Raw genomic sequence first — 15,016 nt, 5'->3', positions numbered from 1 at the left:
GGAAAAGAAGGTTAAGGTTACTTAGAGCAGGAATCAAACAAGCATTTTCCTTGGATTAGCATGAACATGCTTTTAAGACTAGTGAGACTGGTAGATTCAGAGTAGAATACGGGGCCAGGCGAGGTGGTTCATGCCTGTAATCCCAGCACTTTGCGAGGCCAAGGTGGGCGGATCACCTGAGGCCAGGAGTTGAAGACCAGCTTAGGCAATATAGGAGACCATGCCTCTACAACAAAAAACAAACAAGCGAAAAAACAAGAGCTGGGTGTGGTGGTTCATGTCTGTAATCCCAGCTACTTGGGAGAGTAAGGCTGAGATCAGGAATTCTAGGCTACAGTGAGCTATGATCACTCCACTGCACTCCAGCCTGGGTGACAGATGGAGACCCTATCTCTAAAAAAAAAAAAAACAACTGGCTGGGTGCAGTTGCTCACGCCTGTAATCCCAGTACTTTGGGAGGCCGAGGCAGGTGGATCACTTGAGGTCAGGAATTCGAGACCAGCCTGGCTAACATTGTGAATCCCCTTCTCTACTAAAAATACAAAAAAATTAGCCAGGCGTGTTGTCGGGTGCCTGTAATCATAGCTACTTGAGAGGCTAAGGCAGGAGAATCACTTGAACCCAGGAGGCGGAGGTTGCAGTAAGCCGAGACTGCACCACTGTACTCTAGCCTGGGTGACAGAGCAAGACTTCGTCTCCAAAAAATAAATAAATAAAATAAAAATAAAATAAACCAAAACAACATAAAAGTAGAATATGCTCAGATCCATGTCCCAGCAACCACATGATGTAAACTTAATGCCCAGAGAAAAGAGAGATTGAAGAGGCTGAACGAAGTACACATTGAATTGAGCAGGTATTATATTTCTGATGGCGTATTTCTGGGAGTTAGACCTAGGAGAGTCTTTACAGATTGTCATATCCAAAGATGGCAAATGGGTTTCAACTTGGGTGTCAACTGTGACTAACTGTTAATAGCTGCTTTGGGAAGGATTCTGGAGCTGCTTCCAGGTTCAAAACAAAAGGATGGCATGTCAGTTGTAGGTTAGGAAGCAGGGAGTGGCAACATATGCACCTTATATTTGTCATCCCTGAGGTGTATTCCCTTCATTTTGTAGATGGGAAAACTGATCAGAGATGTAGAGTGAAGTCCTGAATTCTGCTCCCCTGACTCATACTACAATGCTGTCTTTAATCTATCACATTGCCTCACTCTACATATCAGTGTCATTAAATGTTCACTTAAGCTTTTTTTTGTTCTGTTTTTTGAGACAGGGTCTTACTCTGTCACCGAGGCTGGAGTGTAGTGGCACAATCACAGCTCACTGCAACTTTGACCTCCCAGGCTCAAGCAATCCTCCCACCTCAGCCCCCCAAGTAGCTGGGACTACAGGTGCACACCACCATGCCCAGCTAACTTTTGTATATTTTGTAAAGGCGGGGTTTCCAGTTGCCCAGTCTAGTCTTGAACTCCTGGACTTAAGTGATTCACACGCCTCAGCTTCACTAAGTGCTAGGATTATAGACGTGACATTGTGCCCAGCCAAATGTTCACTTGAGCTTAATGAGCATTAACTTCAGGTAGCTTTGGAAGTGATCCAGTCATTATTCTCTTTTCTAACACCGCTGCACAATTAATCTGGAAAATGCCAAACGAATCACTGCATGAAAAAGTACAGTATAGGCTGGGCACGGTGGCTCACGCCTGTAATCCCAGCACTTTGGAAGGCCAAGGCGGGCGGATAACCTGAGGTCAGGAGTTCGAGACCAGTGTGGCCAACATGGCGAAACCCCATCTCTACTAAAAGTACAAAGATTAGCTGGGTGTGGTGGCGGACACCTGTAATCCTAGCTACTTAGGAGGCTGAGGCAGGAGAATCGCCCGAACCCAGGAGGCGGAGGTTGCAGTGAGCTGAGATCGCGCCACTGCACTCCAGCCTGGGCGACAAGAGTGAGACTCCATCTCAAAAAAAAAAGAAAGAAAAGAAAAAAAACAAGTATGGTATGTAGCCAGGTACATGCATCCATAGTATTAGCTACTTGGAAGATTGGTTGAGCCCAAGAGTTTGAGGCTGCTGTACACTATGATCATGCCTGTGAATAGCCACTGCATTCCAGCCTGGGCAACAGAGCAAGACCTCGTCTCTAAAGAGAAAACAAAAAGTAGAGTATGTAGATTTAGAAATGAAAATGATAAGGCCGGGCACAGTGGCTCATGCCTGTAATCCTAGCACTTTGGGAGGCCGAGGCGGGCAGATCACTTGAGGTCAGGAGTTCAAAACCAGCCTGGCCAACATGGTGAAACTTCATCTCTACTAAAAATAAAAAAAATTAGCCTGGCATGGTGGTGGGCGCCTGTAATCCCAGCTACTTGGGAGGTTGAGGCAGGGGAATCGCTTGAACCCAGGAGGCTGAGGTTGCAGTGAGTCGAGATCATGCCACTGCACTCCAGCCTGGGTAACAGAGTGAGACTCCGTCTCAAAAAAACAAAAAAAGAAAAAAGAAAAAAGAAAAAAAAAAAGAAAATGATAGTTGATGACAATTAACATTCTTTCTAGCTCTAAATGCTTTTTATGTACCCCAGAATCATAACATTGTAATAATACACACACAAACACTAAGGTAATATCAGACAAAAACATTTCTTTTTTGCCTCCTGAAAAGTGATTTAAATAAAATCCCCAAAGTTAAAAAGCAAATTTTCACCCAGAAAACATGTAGTACTAGTACAGTATAGTTTAATAGTCAAGAGCATGAACTGGAGCCTGACTGCTTGGCTCTACTACTTAGTGGCTTTGTGACCCTGGACAAGATACTTAATCTTTTAGAACTCAGTCTTCTGTACAATGGCCACAGTAACAGTACTCACTTCCTAGGTTGTTGTGAGAATTAAAGGAGTTAGGATATGTAACATTCCTAGAACAGGCTAGGCAGTTGGCACACAGCGAGTGCTACATAAGGATTAGCCAGTGTCATCATGATAACATGTTGTCTTTTCCCTGGTGAAGCTTTTCCTGCCTATTCCAATCCTCTCTTCCCAACTACAAAGAGCTGATAATCCTGTCTGTAGTCTATATAATAACCATTTTATTGCATGTTGAGATCTCCTACCAGAAAAGCAATTTAGACTTTTAAAGCTGTGACTGTGAGAGAAAGATTTTACATTGTGGCCCAGTATACAAATATATATAATGTAAATGTGAGATGTAATATATATATATAATGTAATATATATATTTAATTATTTACATGATATACAGAGATATACCTTGACAGTTTTGAAGAGTATTGGTCAGGTATTTTAAGGAATGTCCCCTGATTGGGATTTGTCTGATGTTATTATTAGACAGAGGTTATGTCTTTTTGGGAGAAAGAGCACAGAGGTAAAGTGCCATTTGCATCATATCATGTCAAAGGCACATACTATCAGTATGACCTGTCACTGTTTTTTTTTTTTTTTTTTTTTTTTTTTTTGAGACAGAGTCTTGCTCTATCACCCAGGCTACAGTGTAGTGGTGCAATCATGGCTCACTGCAGCTTTGAGCTCCCAGCCTCCGGTGATCCTCCCACATCAGCCTCCAGAGTAGCTGGGACTAGAGGCACGTACCTCCATGCCCTGCTAATTTTATTTTATTTAATTAATTTATTTTTTTGAGACAGAGTCTTGCTCTGTCACCCAGGCCAGAGTGCAGTGGCGCAATCTTGGCTTACTGCAACCTCCGCCTAAACCCTCCAGGGTTCAAGCAATTCTCCTGCCTCAGCCTCCCAAGTAGCTGGGACTACAGGTGCCTGCCACCACGCCTGGCTAATTTTTGTATTTTTAGTAGAGACAGGGTTTCACCATATAGGCCAGGCTGGCCCCAAACTCCTGATCTTGTGATCCGCCCACCTCGGCCTCCCAAAATGCTGGGATTACAGGCGTGAGTCACTGGGCCCAGCCCATGCCCTGCTAATTAAAAAAAAATTTTTTGTAGACACGGGGTCTTGCTATGTTGCCCAGGTCATTTGTTTATTTACTCAATTATTATTTATGTAAGTATGGCCTCACAGATATTTTATTTTATACTATGGGTTATAATATAATATGACCAACTGATTTTTAATTTCAGAACTTGCTAACAGACTGAGTCAAAGTTTGAAAAACACTATACCAGAACGTGAACTTCTTCTAGTGGGTAGAATCTATACCTTACTTCAGATCCTCACACAGTGCCTAGTATACAGTGAGCATCCAATAAATGTTAACTGAATAAATGAAAGAATGAATGAAAGCTTTTTCTAGCAATAACTTTTCCTTTAAAAAAGTCACATAAGTATTCCAACAAAGCAGACATATAAAATACCCTCATATCCTGTTCCTGCCCTGAATCCCATTCATTTTCCCAAAGATATATCCAATGTTTTTAAGTTTAGTGCCTATCCTTTTAGACCTCCTCTGTACATCATGTAAATATGTATGCAGATGTAGCAACTTTATTATTTTTTTAAACATAAATGTGATAAATTGATGAACTCTAAAATGTCTTAGCAACTATTCTCTTCTGGTATCTTTAAATGAACCCATTCCACTCACAAGCCCTGGCTGGATCCTATAAAAGGTTACTAAAGGCCAGACATGGTAGCTCATGTCTTCAATCCCAGCACTTGAGAGGTTGAGGCAGGATGATCACTTGAGGCCAGAAGTTTAAGACCAGCCTGGGCAACATAATGACACTGTCTCTACAAAAAAAAAAAAAAAAAAAAAAAAAAAAAGAAAAAAGTCACTAAAAAGATGTGTTTTAGAATTTAGAATTCATCCAAAGGACCTCCCATTTCCCAACCCAGCTCAGGCTTTCGGTTCCCTTCATTTGATCCAGTGCCTTGGCCCCCATTCCTTCTCTGGCCTCTGTTCTTCGTGACTTGCTTTGGATTTCTTCTTCCAGCTCTGGCTTGGGCAATATTCCAGGACTTGACCTTTGGTATCTGCCCTCTGGCCATCATCCCGGGGGCCTATGGCACCCAGCCCTTGCACTGTCAACTGGGAGTAATAGCTACCTTACTGACTGATGGAGAAAATTAAATGAGGCAAATGACATAATTGTTGTAAAAACATTTAGCACAAGGCCGGACGCGGTGGCTCATGCCTGTAATCCCAACACTTTGGGAGGCTGAAGTGGGTGGATCACCTGGGATCTGGTGTTCAAGACCAGCCTGGCCAACATAGTGAAAACTCGTCTCTAATAAAAGTACAAAAATTAGCTGGGCATGGTGGTGGGTGCCTATAATCCCAGCTACTTGGGAGGCTAAGGCATGAGAATCACTTGAACCCAGGAGGCAGAGGTTGCAGTGAGCTGAGACCGTGCCATTGCACTCCAGCCTGGGCAACAAAAGCGAAACTCCATCTCAAAAAAAAAAAAAAAAAAAAAAATTTAGCACACTGACTTCTTTCCTTTCCTCCTTTCTTGTATTAAATTAGGGAAAAAGTACTGATAAGTCTACAGGGAAATAGATATGTATATTTACACATTTTTACTGGTCTTTTAGATTGCTATACACTTTCTGCCATGTAACCTGCTAGAATGCAACAACAAATCATGAAAATGATTGATTCTACCTTTTTTTTTTTTTTTTTTTGAGAGGGAGTCTTGCTCTTGTCACCCAGGCTGGAGTGCAATGGCACAATTTTGGCTCAGTGTAACCTCCATTTCCCAGGTTCAAGTGATTCTCCTGCCTCAGCCTCCCAAGTAGCTGGGATTACAGGTACTCACCACCATGCCTGCCTAATTTTTTTTGTATTTTTAGTAGAAAAGGGGTTTCACCATGTTGGCCAGGCTGGTCTCGAACTCCTGACCTCAGGTGATCTGCCCGCCTTGGCCTTCCAAAGTGCTGGGATTACAAGTGTGAGACACCATGCTTGGCCAATGATTTTACCTTTTAACTCAAGCATCCCAGTCTTAGGAATTTATCCTAAGGTATAATTAAAATCTATATGCATAAAAATGTTTATAACATTATAAATAGTGAAACATGGAGCAAGCGCAGATACTACAAACTGAGAATTGTTAATACCAACTTCATGTCTTTTTTTTCCCCGAGAGGGTCTCACTCTATCACCAAAGCTGGAGTGCAGTGGCGCAATCATGGCTCACTGCAGCCTCGATGTCCCCTGGTTCAGGTGATACTCCCACTTCAGCCTCCCTAGTGGTTGTGACTCTAGGCACACGTCATCACACCTAACTAATTTTTGTATTTTTTGTAAAGATGAGGTTTTGCCATCTTGCCCAGGCTGGTCTTGAACTCCTGGGCTCAAGTAATCCTCCTGCGTTGGCCTCCCAAAGTGCTGGCATTATAGGAGTGAGTCATCTCACCCGGCCATGTCTTTTAATTATTAAAATGAATATGGACCGGGCATCGTGGCTCATGCCTGTAATCCCAGCACTTTGGGAAGCTGAGGTAGGTGGATCACTTGAGCTCAGGAGTTTGAAACCAGCTTGGCCAACATGGCTAAACCCCGGCTCTACTAAAAATACAAAAATTAGCCAGGTGTGGTAGTGCATGCCTGTGATCCCAGCTACTCTGGAGGCTGAGGCAGGGGAATTGCCTGAACCCGGGAGGGGGAAGTTACAGTGTGCTGAGATCACACCACTGCACTCCAGCCTGTGTGACACAGCAAGACTCTGTCTCATAAATAAATAAATAAATTGAATACGCAAACTCTGTAAAAGAATGGGGAAATGTATATAAATAATGTTAAGTCGCAAAATCAAAATGCCAAATTCTACATTCACATGGATTACAACTATGCAAAGTGAACATCTAAATAGATAAAGATTTTTGTATTTTTTTGTATTTTTAGTAGAGACAGTGTTTCTCCATGTTGGTCAGGCTGGTCTCGAACTCTCGACCTCAGGTGATCTGCCCGCCTCGGTCTCCCAAAGTGCTGGGATTACAGGCGTGAGCCACAGTGCCTGCAACAATTCTTAAGTTTTAAACTGCACGCTGTTCTGAGTAGCATGATGAAGTTTTGTGCCATCCTGCTCTGCTGTGCCTGGGATGTGAATATCCCCTTTGTCCAGCATATCTACACCGTATTTTTTTTTTTTTTTTGAGACACGGTTTTGCTCTGTCACCTAGGCTGGAGTGCAGTGGTGCAAACATGGCTCACTGCAGCCTTGACTCCCTGGGCTCAAGGGATCTTCCTGTCGCAGCCTCCTGTGTAGCTGAGACCACAGGCATGCACCACCACACCCAGCTAACTTTTTTATTTTCTTGTGGAGATGGGGTCTTGCTTTGTTGCCTAGGCTGGTTTTGAACTCCTGGGCTCAAGCGATCCTCCCGCTCCAGCCTCCTGAAGTGCTGGAATACAGTCATGGGCCACCGAGCCCAGCCAATCATGAGAAAATACATTAGACAAACCCAATTTGAGAGACATTCTCACCAGTATTCTCCAAAACTGCCACAGTCATGAAAAACAAGAAAAGACTAAAAAACCATCACAGTCCAGAGAAGATTAAGGAAATAAGATGACTAAATGCAACATGGTATCGTGGAGGGGAGCCCGGAATAGAAAACGGACTAATGAAAAAACTGGTGAAATGTGAACAAAATCTGAGTTTAGTTATAATAATGCTATCCATGTTAATTTGTTATATTTGATACATGTATCATGGTAATGTGAGAGGATAACATTAGGGGAGATGGGCAAGTGTATACGAAAATTCTCTGTATTATCTTCACAACCTTTGTAAATCTAAAATTATTCCAAATACTCAAACCTGTAATCCCAGATACTTGGGAGGCTGAGGTGGGAGAATTGCTTGAGGCCAGGAGTTTGAGACCAGCCTCATAGCAAGACCCTGTCTCTAAACAATAAAATAAATAAAATAATTCCAAATAAAAAGTTAGTTTTTTTTAAAGCAGAGATCAGAGAGATATAAGTATTCATATTAAAGTGAAGATGGGGTAACACTGAAGAACACTCCAAGTAAAAAAATAAACAAATAGGCCGGGCACGGTGGCTCACGCCTATAATCCCAGCATTTTGGGAGGCTGAGGTGGGCAGATCACCTGAGGTCAGGAGTTCGTTCGAGACCAGCCTGGCTAACATGGTGAAACCGTTTCTACTAAAAATACAAAAATTAGGACAGGCGTGGTGGCTCACGCCTGTAATCCCAGCACTTTGGGAGGCCAAGGCAGGTGGATCACCTGAGGTCAGGAGTTCGAGACCAGCCTGACCAACATGGTGAAACCTTGTCTCTACTAAAAGTACAAAAATTAGCAGGGTGTGGTGGCGCATGCCTGTAATCCCAGCTACTCAGGAGGCTGAGACAGGAGAACTGCTTGAACCTGGGAAGTGGAGGTTGCAGTGAGCCGAGATCATGCCACTGCACTCCAGTCTAGGCGACAGAGGGAGACTCCTCCAAAACCAAACAAAAAATAATAAATAAATAAAGTTAAGAGGGCACCGGGAATGGCGTCCATGCCTGTAATCCCAGTACTTTGGGAGACCAAGGGTGGCAGATCGCTTGAGCCCAGGAGTTCGAGATCAGACTGGGCAACATGATGAAACCCTGACTCTACAAAACATGCAAAAAAATTAGCCGTGTATGGTGGCCCACGCAGAGGTTGCAGTGAGCCGAGATTGTGCCACTGTACTCCAGCCTGGGTGACAGAGAAAGACCGTGTTTCAAAATAAACAAACAAATAAATAAAAATTTTAAAAAATAAAGTGAAGAGGGCTTGTTTGTGTGTGTGTCTGAGTATATAAGTCTACATGCACCTTTATGGTTATACTGTTTAAATATTTAAATTTTTACCAGTATAATGCAGATGTTTAGGCTTGAGGGTAATTTATGTGTGTGTGTGTGTGTGTGTGTGTGTGTGTGTGTACATATATATACATATATATATATATATATATATATATATATATATTTTTTTTTTTTTTTTGAGACCGAGTCTTGCTCTGTCACCCAGGCTGGAGTGCAGTGGTGCGATCTCGGCTCACTGCCAGCTCTGCCTCCCGGGTTCACACCATTCTCCTGCCTCAGCCTCCCGAGTAGCTGGGGCTACAGGCACCCGCCACCACGCCTGGCTAATTTTTTGTATTTTTTAGTAGAGACAGGGTTTCACCGTGTTAGCCAGGATGGTCTCGATCTCCTGACCTCATGATCCACCCGCCTCGACCTCCCAAAGTGTTGGGATTACAGGCGTGAGCCACCACGCCCGGCATGCCTGGCTAATTTTTGTAGAAATGGGTTTTTGGTTGTTTTTTTTTGTAGAGATGGGGTTTCACCATGTTGGCCAGGCTGGTCTTGAACTCCTGACCTAGGGTGATCTGCCCTGCCTCCCAAAGTGCTGGGATTACAGGCGTGAGCCACTGTGCCTGGACATTAGTCAGGGTTCTCTAGAGGGACATAACTAATAGGATAGTCCTACACAAACATATAGGTATTATGAATAATTTCTTTCATTTGGTCATGGATCTGGCTGGTTGGGTGGTAGCCTCCTCCCTCAAAACCACAGGGTGTCTCTCCCAAAGTTGAAAATGTTCTCAGCAGATACGGAAGAACCATTATTTTGTCAAGCACTTACCAGCACGTGGCTAGATTTGTTTTTTTGTTTTGGAGACAGAGTCTCACTGTCACCCAGGCTGGAGTGCAATGACGCAATCTTGGCTCACTGTAAACTCTGCTTCTTGAGGTCATGTGATTCTCCTCCCTCAGCCTCCCAAGTAGCTGGGATTACGGGAATGTGCCACCACGCCCAGCTAATTTTTGTATTTTTGGCAGAGATTTTTGGCAAAACGGGGTTTTGCCATGTTGTCCAGGCAGGTCTCTAACTTCTGACCTCGTGATCCACCCACTTCAGCCTCCCAAAGTGCTGGGATTACAGGTGTGAGTCACTGTGCGTGGTCCTGGCTAGAATTTTTATTTAAGAAATTACAAAAATAGGCCAGGCATGGTGGCTCATGCCTGTAATCCCTGTAATCCCAGCATTTTGGGAGGCTGAGGTGGGTGGATCACCTGACGTCAGGATTTCAAGACCAGCCTGGCCAACAGGGTGGGACCCCGTTTCTACTAAAAATACAAAATACAAAAAGTTAGCCAGGTGTGGTGGTGGGCGCCTGTAATCCCAGCTACTTGGGAGGCCGAGGCAAGAGAATCACTTGAACCTGGGAGACGGGGGTTGCAGTGAGCTGAGATCATGCCACTGCAGTCCAGCCTGGGCAACAAGAGCAAAACTCCATCTCAAAAAAAAAAAAAAAAATTAAAGAAATATATTTATACTTTTATGTCACACCACATACAAAAATAACTCAAAACAGATCATAGACCTAAATGCAAGCACTAAACCTGTATAAACTTTCAGAAAAAACAAATTTAAGGCTGGGCGTGGTAGCTAACACCAGTAATCGCAGCATTTTGGGAGGCCGAGGTGAGCGAATCACTTGAGGCCAGGAGTTCAAGAACAGTCTGGCCAACATGGCAAAACCCTCATCTCTACTAAAATTAACCGGGTGTGGCAGTCACATCTGTAATCCCAACTACTCGGGAGGCTTGTCATTGAGGCATGACAATGGCTTGAGCCTGGGAGGAGGAGGTTGCAGTGAGCCAAGACTGCACTACTGCAATCCAGCCTGGTGACACAGCAAGATTGTGTCTCAAAGGCTGGGCACGGTGGCTCACGCCTGTAGTCCCAGCGCTTTGGGAGGCTGAGGCGGGCGAATCACAAGGTCAGGAGATCGAGACCATCCTGGCTAACACAGTGAAACCCAGTCTCTACTAAAAAAAACCATAAAAAATTAGCCAGGCATTGTGGCGGGCGCCTGTATGTAGTCCCAGCTACTCTGGAGGCTGAGGCAGGAGAACGGCGTGAACCCAGGAAGCAGAGCTTGCAGTGAGTCAAGATCGCGCCACTGCACTCCAGCCTGGGCAACAGAGCAAGACTCCGTCTCAAAAAAAAAAAAAAAAAAAAGATTGTGTCTCAAAAAATAAAAACCAACCAACAAACAACTTCCCCCTGCCCACACACCACAAGAAAACCCACGTAAGACACTATTAAGAAAATGAAGTGTCACAGACTGGAAAAAATGATTTGCAAACCATGAATCTGATGAAGGACTTGGATTTAGAATATATAAAGAATTCTTAACAGGAAGACAAGCAACATAATTAAAAAACAGACAATGAATTAGGAAATAAATTTGAAGAGGATATATGAATGACAAATAAGCATGTGAAAAAATGTTCAACACCCTTAATCATTGGGAAAATACAAACGTGGTTTTAAACCCCAGTAAGATACAATTTCACACCTACTTTAATGGTTATAATAAAAAAGGCAGACAGTAACAAATGCTAAGATGTGGAGACCCTGGAATGTTCATACATTGCTGGTGGGAATGTAAATGCTACAGCCACTTTAGAAAACAAATCGGCAGTTTCCAAAAAAGTTAAACACAAATTTACCATATTATCCAGCAATTCTACTTCTTCTTTTTTTTTTTTTTTTTTTGAGACGGAGTCTCGCTCTGTTGCCCAGGCTGGAGTGCAGTGGTACGATCTCGGCTCACTGCAAGCTCCACCTCCTGGGTTCACACCATTCTCCTGCCTCAGCCTCCTGAGTAGCTGGGACTACAGGTGCCCACCACCATGCCCGGCTAACTTTTTGTATTTTTTAGTAGCGACGGGGTTTCACCGTGTTATCCTGGATGGTCTTGATCTCCTGACCCTGTGATCCGCCTGCCTTGGCCTCCCAAAGTGCTGGGATAACAGGCGTGAGCTACCGTGCCCGGCCGCAATTCTACTTCTAAGTATATACCCAAGAGAAATGAAAACATTTCTATCAGCTAATGAATAGATGAACAAAACATGGTATATCCATACAGTAGAAAACTATTCATCAATTAAGGGGAACAAAATGCATGAACCTTAAAAATAATAAGTGAAAGAAGCCAGATGCAGAAATACTACCTATTATATGATTCTACTAATAAGAAATGTCCAGAAAAAGCATATCTACAGTGATAGAAAGTAGATTAGTGGCTACCAGGATCAGGAGAAGAAAGGTTGGGGCTTTGTTTTGGGGATTTAAAAAATCTTCTGGCTGGGTGTGGAGGCTCATGTCTGTAATCCCAGCACTTTGGGAGGCTGAGGCTGGTGGATCACCTGAGGGCAGGAATTCCAGACCAGCCTGACCAACATGGAGAAACCCCATCTCTACTAAAAATACAAAATTAGTTGGGCGTGGTATGTAATCCCAGCTACTCGGGAGACTGAGGCAGGAGAATTGCTTGAACCTGGGAGGCGGAGGTTGCAGTGAGCCGAGATCATGCCATTGCACTCCAGCCTGGGCAACAAGAGTGAAACTCCGTCTCAAAAAAAAAAAAAAAAAAATCTAGCTCCTTCTTTCCCTTTCCTGGAGGCTGGAGGGTGGGGATGAAATTTCCAACTCTCTGATCCTCTCATCACTTGGTCTTTCCTAGACTGGCCCCACCCTGAGGCTATCTACGGACTCACTCTAGGTCACTTTATTAGTATAAACTCAGGGGTTATGAAAGGGGCTCAGTGTGAATAACAAAAGACACACCTACTACTTAGGAAATTTCAAGAGTATTAGGGGCTTTGTCACAGGAATCAGGAACAAAGGCCAAATATATTTCATATTATACCACAGAACTATATATTTTGAATGGTGTATTAGTCTGCTTTCACACTGCTATAAAGAACTGCCCGAGACTAGGTAATTTATAATAGAAAGTAGTTTAATTGATTCACAGTTCAGCATGGCTGGGGAGGCCTCGCAAACTTACAATCATGGCATAAGGCGACGGGGAAGCAAGTAACCTTCTTCACAAGGCAGCAGGACGGACAAGTGCCAAGTGAAGGGGGAAAGGGTCACAGCAGATGTCATCTCACTCACTATCACACTCGCTCACTATCACAAGAATAGCATGGAGGAAACTGCCCCCATGATTCAATTACTTCAACCTTGTCTCTCCCTTGACGTATGGGGATTATGGGGATTACCATTCAAGATGAGATTTGAGTGGGGACACAAAGCCTAACCATATCAAACGGTATGTGGTAAAACGGTTCATAAAAATTTTTATGGTATATACATTATACCTAAAGTTGTTTTAAAAAATTATAGACAACAGGCTGGGCGTGGTGGCTCACGCCTGCAATCCCAGCGCTTTGGGAGGCCGAAGCGGGCGGATCACTTGAGGCCAGGAGTTTGAGACCAACCTGGCCAACATAGTGAAACCCCGTCTCTACTAAAAATACAAAAATTAGCCGGGTGTAGTGGCGGACTCCTGTAATCCCAGCTACTTGGGGGGCTGAGGCACGAGAACTGCTTGAACCCGGGAGGTGGAGGTTGCAGTGAGCTGAGATTGCACCACTGCACTCCAGCCTGGCAACAGAGCGAGACTCTATCTCAAAAAAAAAAAAAATTATAGAAAACGTATCTTTTAAAATAAAGAATATACTGTCATGTCTGCCCCCAAACCTGACACTCTTCACAAGGTTCATCTTAGGAAATGTGAACGATTACCCTTGGAATGCATTAGGCAACAGGACCATGGAATTAAATGCATAGTGCCTGGTTCATTAAAAATAAACATATACACTTGAGGCCAGGAGTTCAAGACCAGCCTGAAAAACATAGCAAGACCCCATTTCTACAAATTTTTTTTTTTTAGAAACTAGCAGGTCCAGGTTCGTGGTTCTAGGCCTGTAATCCCAGCACTTTGGGAAGCTGAGGTGGGTGGATTGCTTGAGCTGGGGAGTTTGAAACCAGACTAGGCAACATAGCAAGACCCTGTCTCTATTAAAAAAAAGAAAAAAAAAATTAGCCTGGCATGGTGGCATGTGCCTGTAGTTCCAGCTACTTGGGAGGCTGAGGCAGGAGGATGGCTTCAGCCCAGGAGACTGAGGCTGCAGTAATCTACGATTATGCCACAATACTCTAGTTTGGGCAGCAGAGTGAGACTCTGTCTTTAAAAAAAAAATTACCAGACATATAATGTGTTTCTCCTACTCCTTGGAACAGTTGTGAGCTACTATGTAGAAACCCTGTCTCTGGAAAGTCCAGCACTACTATGACATAATAAGTAGAAAAGGAAGGGTTATAGTAAAGTGCATTTTGCTTAACTCCGGATAGTAGGATTAGGGGCAATATTTATTCTATATTGTTACTTGGTTTTAAATTTCCCAGATTTTAAGAGATATGTTACTTTTTGTGTCACATACATACATACTTACAGTTTGTTTTAAAAACATTGAGTTAAATTATATAATTTTACAAAGTTATCTAGCTGTAAAATAAATGTTTACCCTAAACAATTAAGCTACTGTTTCATTTATTGTGACATTTCTAAATGCCATATGTCTTTAAAATATGTGCTGTTTTTCAAAATGGATGTGCTAAGAGCATCTAATCAGCATGTCTTAAACTCAGGAAATATGGAAATGGCAACTGCGAGATTCTTTTGCCATGCCATATTGATTCATTCCATCAGCTTCCAAGTATTAATAATTTAGCTGTTTCTGAATTTCTCCATAAATGGGAGGAAATAATACTGGTCAGTAGCAGATTTTTATCTAATTTGGATCACCTCCCTCAGAGTTTGTTATATTATGTTTGTACATAACAAAAACATTGTTTCTTTGCCTCAAAATTTACTTGAATTCTACGATGATTCAGTTTTCTCACCTGTCAACTATGAATAACGTTAACTCTGTTGCCGAGTTATTGTGAGGGCTAAATGAGATAAGGAAAATGTGAAACACTCCAGAACCTCCTTTCTCTCCTCATCCTACTCTCCAGTGTAGGTAAGATTCTCTTCCCAACAGATTCTCCCTACTACAGTCCTAAGATTACTGAAATTTGACTTCAAGAAACCTGTTCTTCCTGTACCTGTTCCATTCTACCTTTTTTCCCATCCACTACCCCCTCTCAGTCTCTCTCTCAAAATCCCTCCTTTATGATTCAAAGTATATTTGAAGTAGCTTTGGATGAAACTTTTTCTTTT

At 43.0% G+C, this 15,016-nt stretch overlaps 1 protein-coding gene across 9 annotated transcripts in view, besides 1 other annotated feature; it reads right to left on the bottom strand.

The window, feature by feature from the left end:
* Window positions 1-15,016, bottom strand: part of AP4S1 (adaptor related protein complex 4 subunit sigma 1) — a 71,345-nt gene that overhangs the window by 38,109 nt on the left and 18,220 nt on the right. The gene's annotated exons all lie outside the window — the stretch shown is intronic.
* Window positions 10,526-11,051: an enhancer, noted in NCBI's record as "H3K27ac-H3K4me1 hESC enhancer chr14:31516497-31517022 (GRCh37/hg19 assembly coordinates)". NCBI's record gives its function as "activates a minimal SCP1, AML or CMV promoter by ChIP-STARR-seq in naive H9 embryonic stem cells {active_cell/tissue: H9 hESC(naive)}" and the evidence as "EXISTENCE:reporter gene assay evidence [ECO:0000049][PMID:30033119]".

The sequence above is a fragment of the Homo sapiens genome, chromosome 14 (assembly GCF_000001405.40).
Source record: "Homo sapiens chromosome 14, GRCh38.p14 Primary Assembly".
NCBI classification, from domain to species: domain Eukaryota; kingdom Metazoa; phylum Chordata; class Mammalia; order Primates; family Hominidae; genus Homo; species Homo sapiens.
This window is presented reverse-complemented; position numbering and strand designations above follow the sequence as displayed.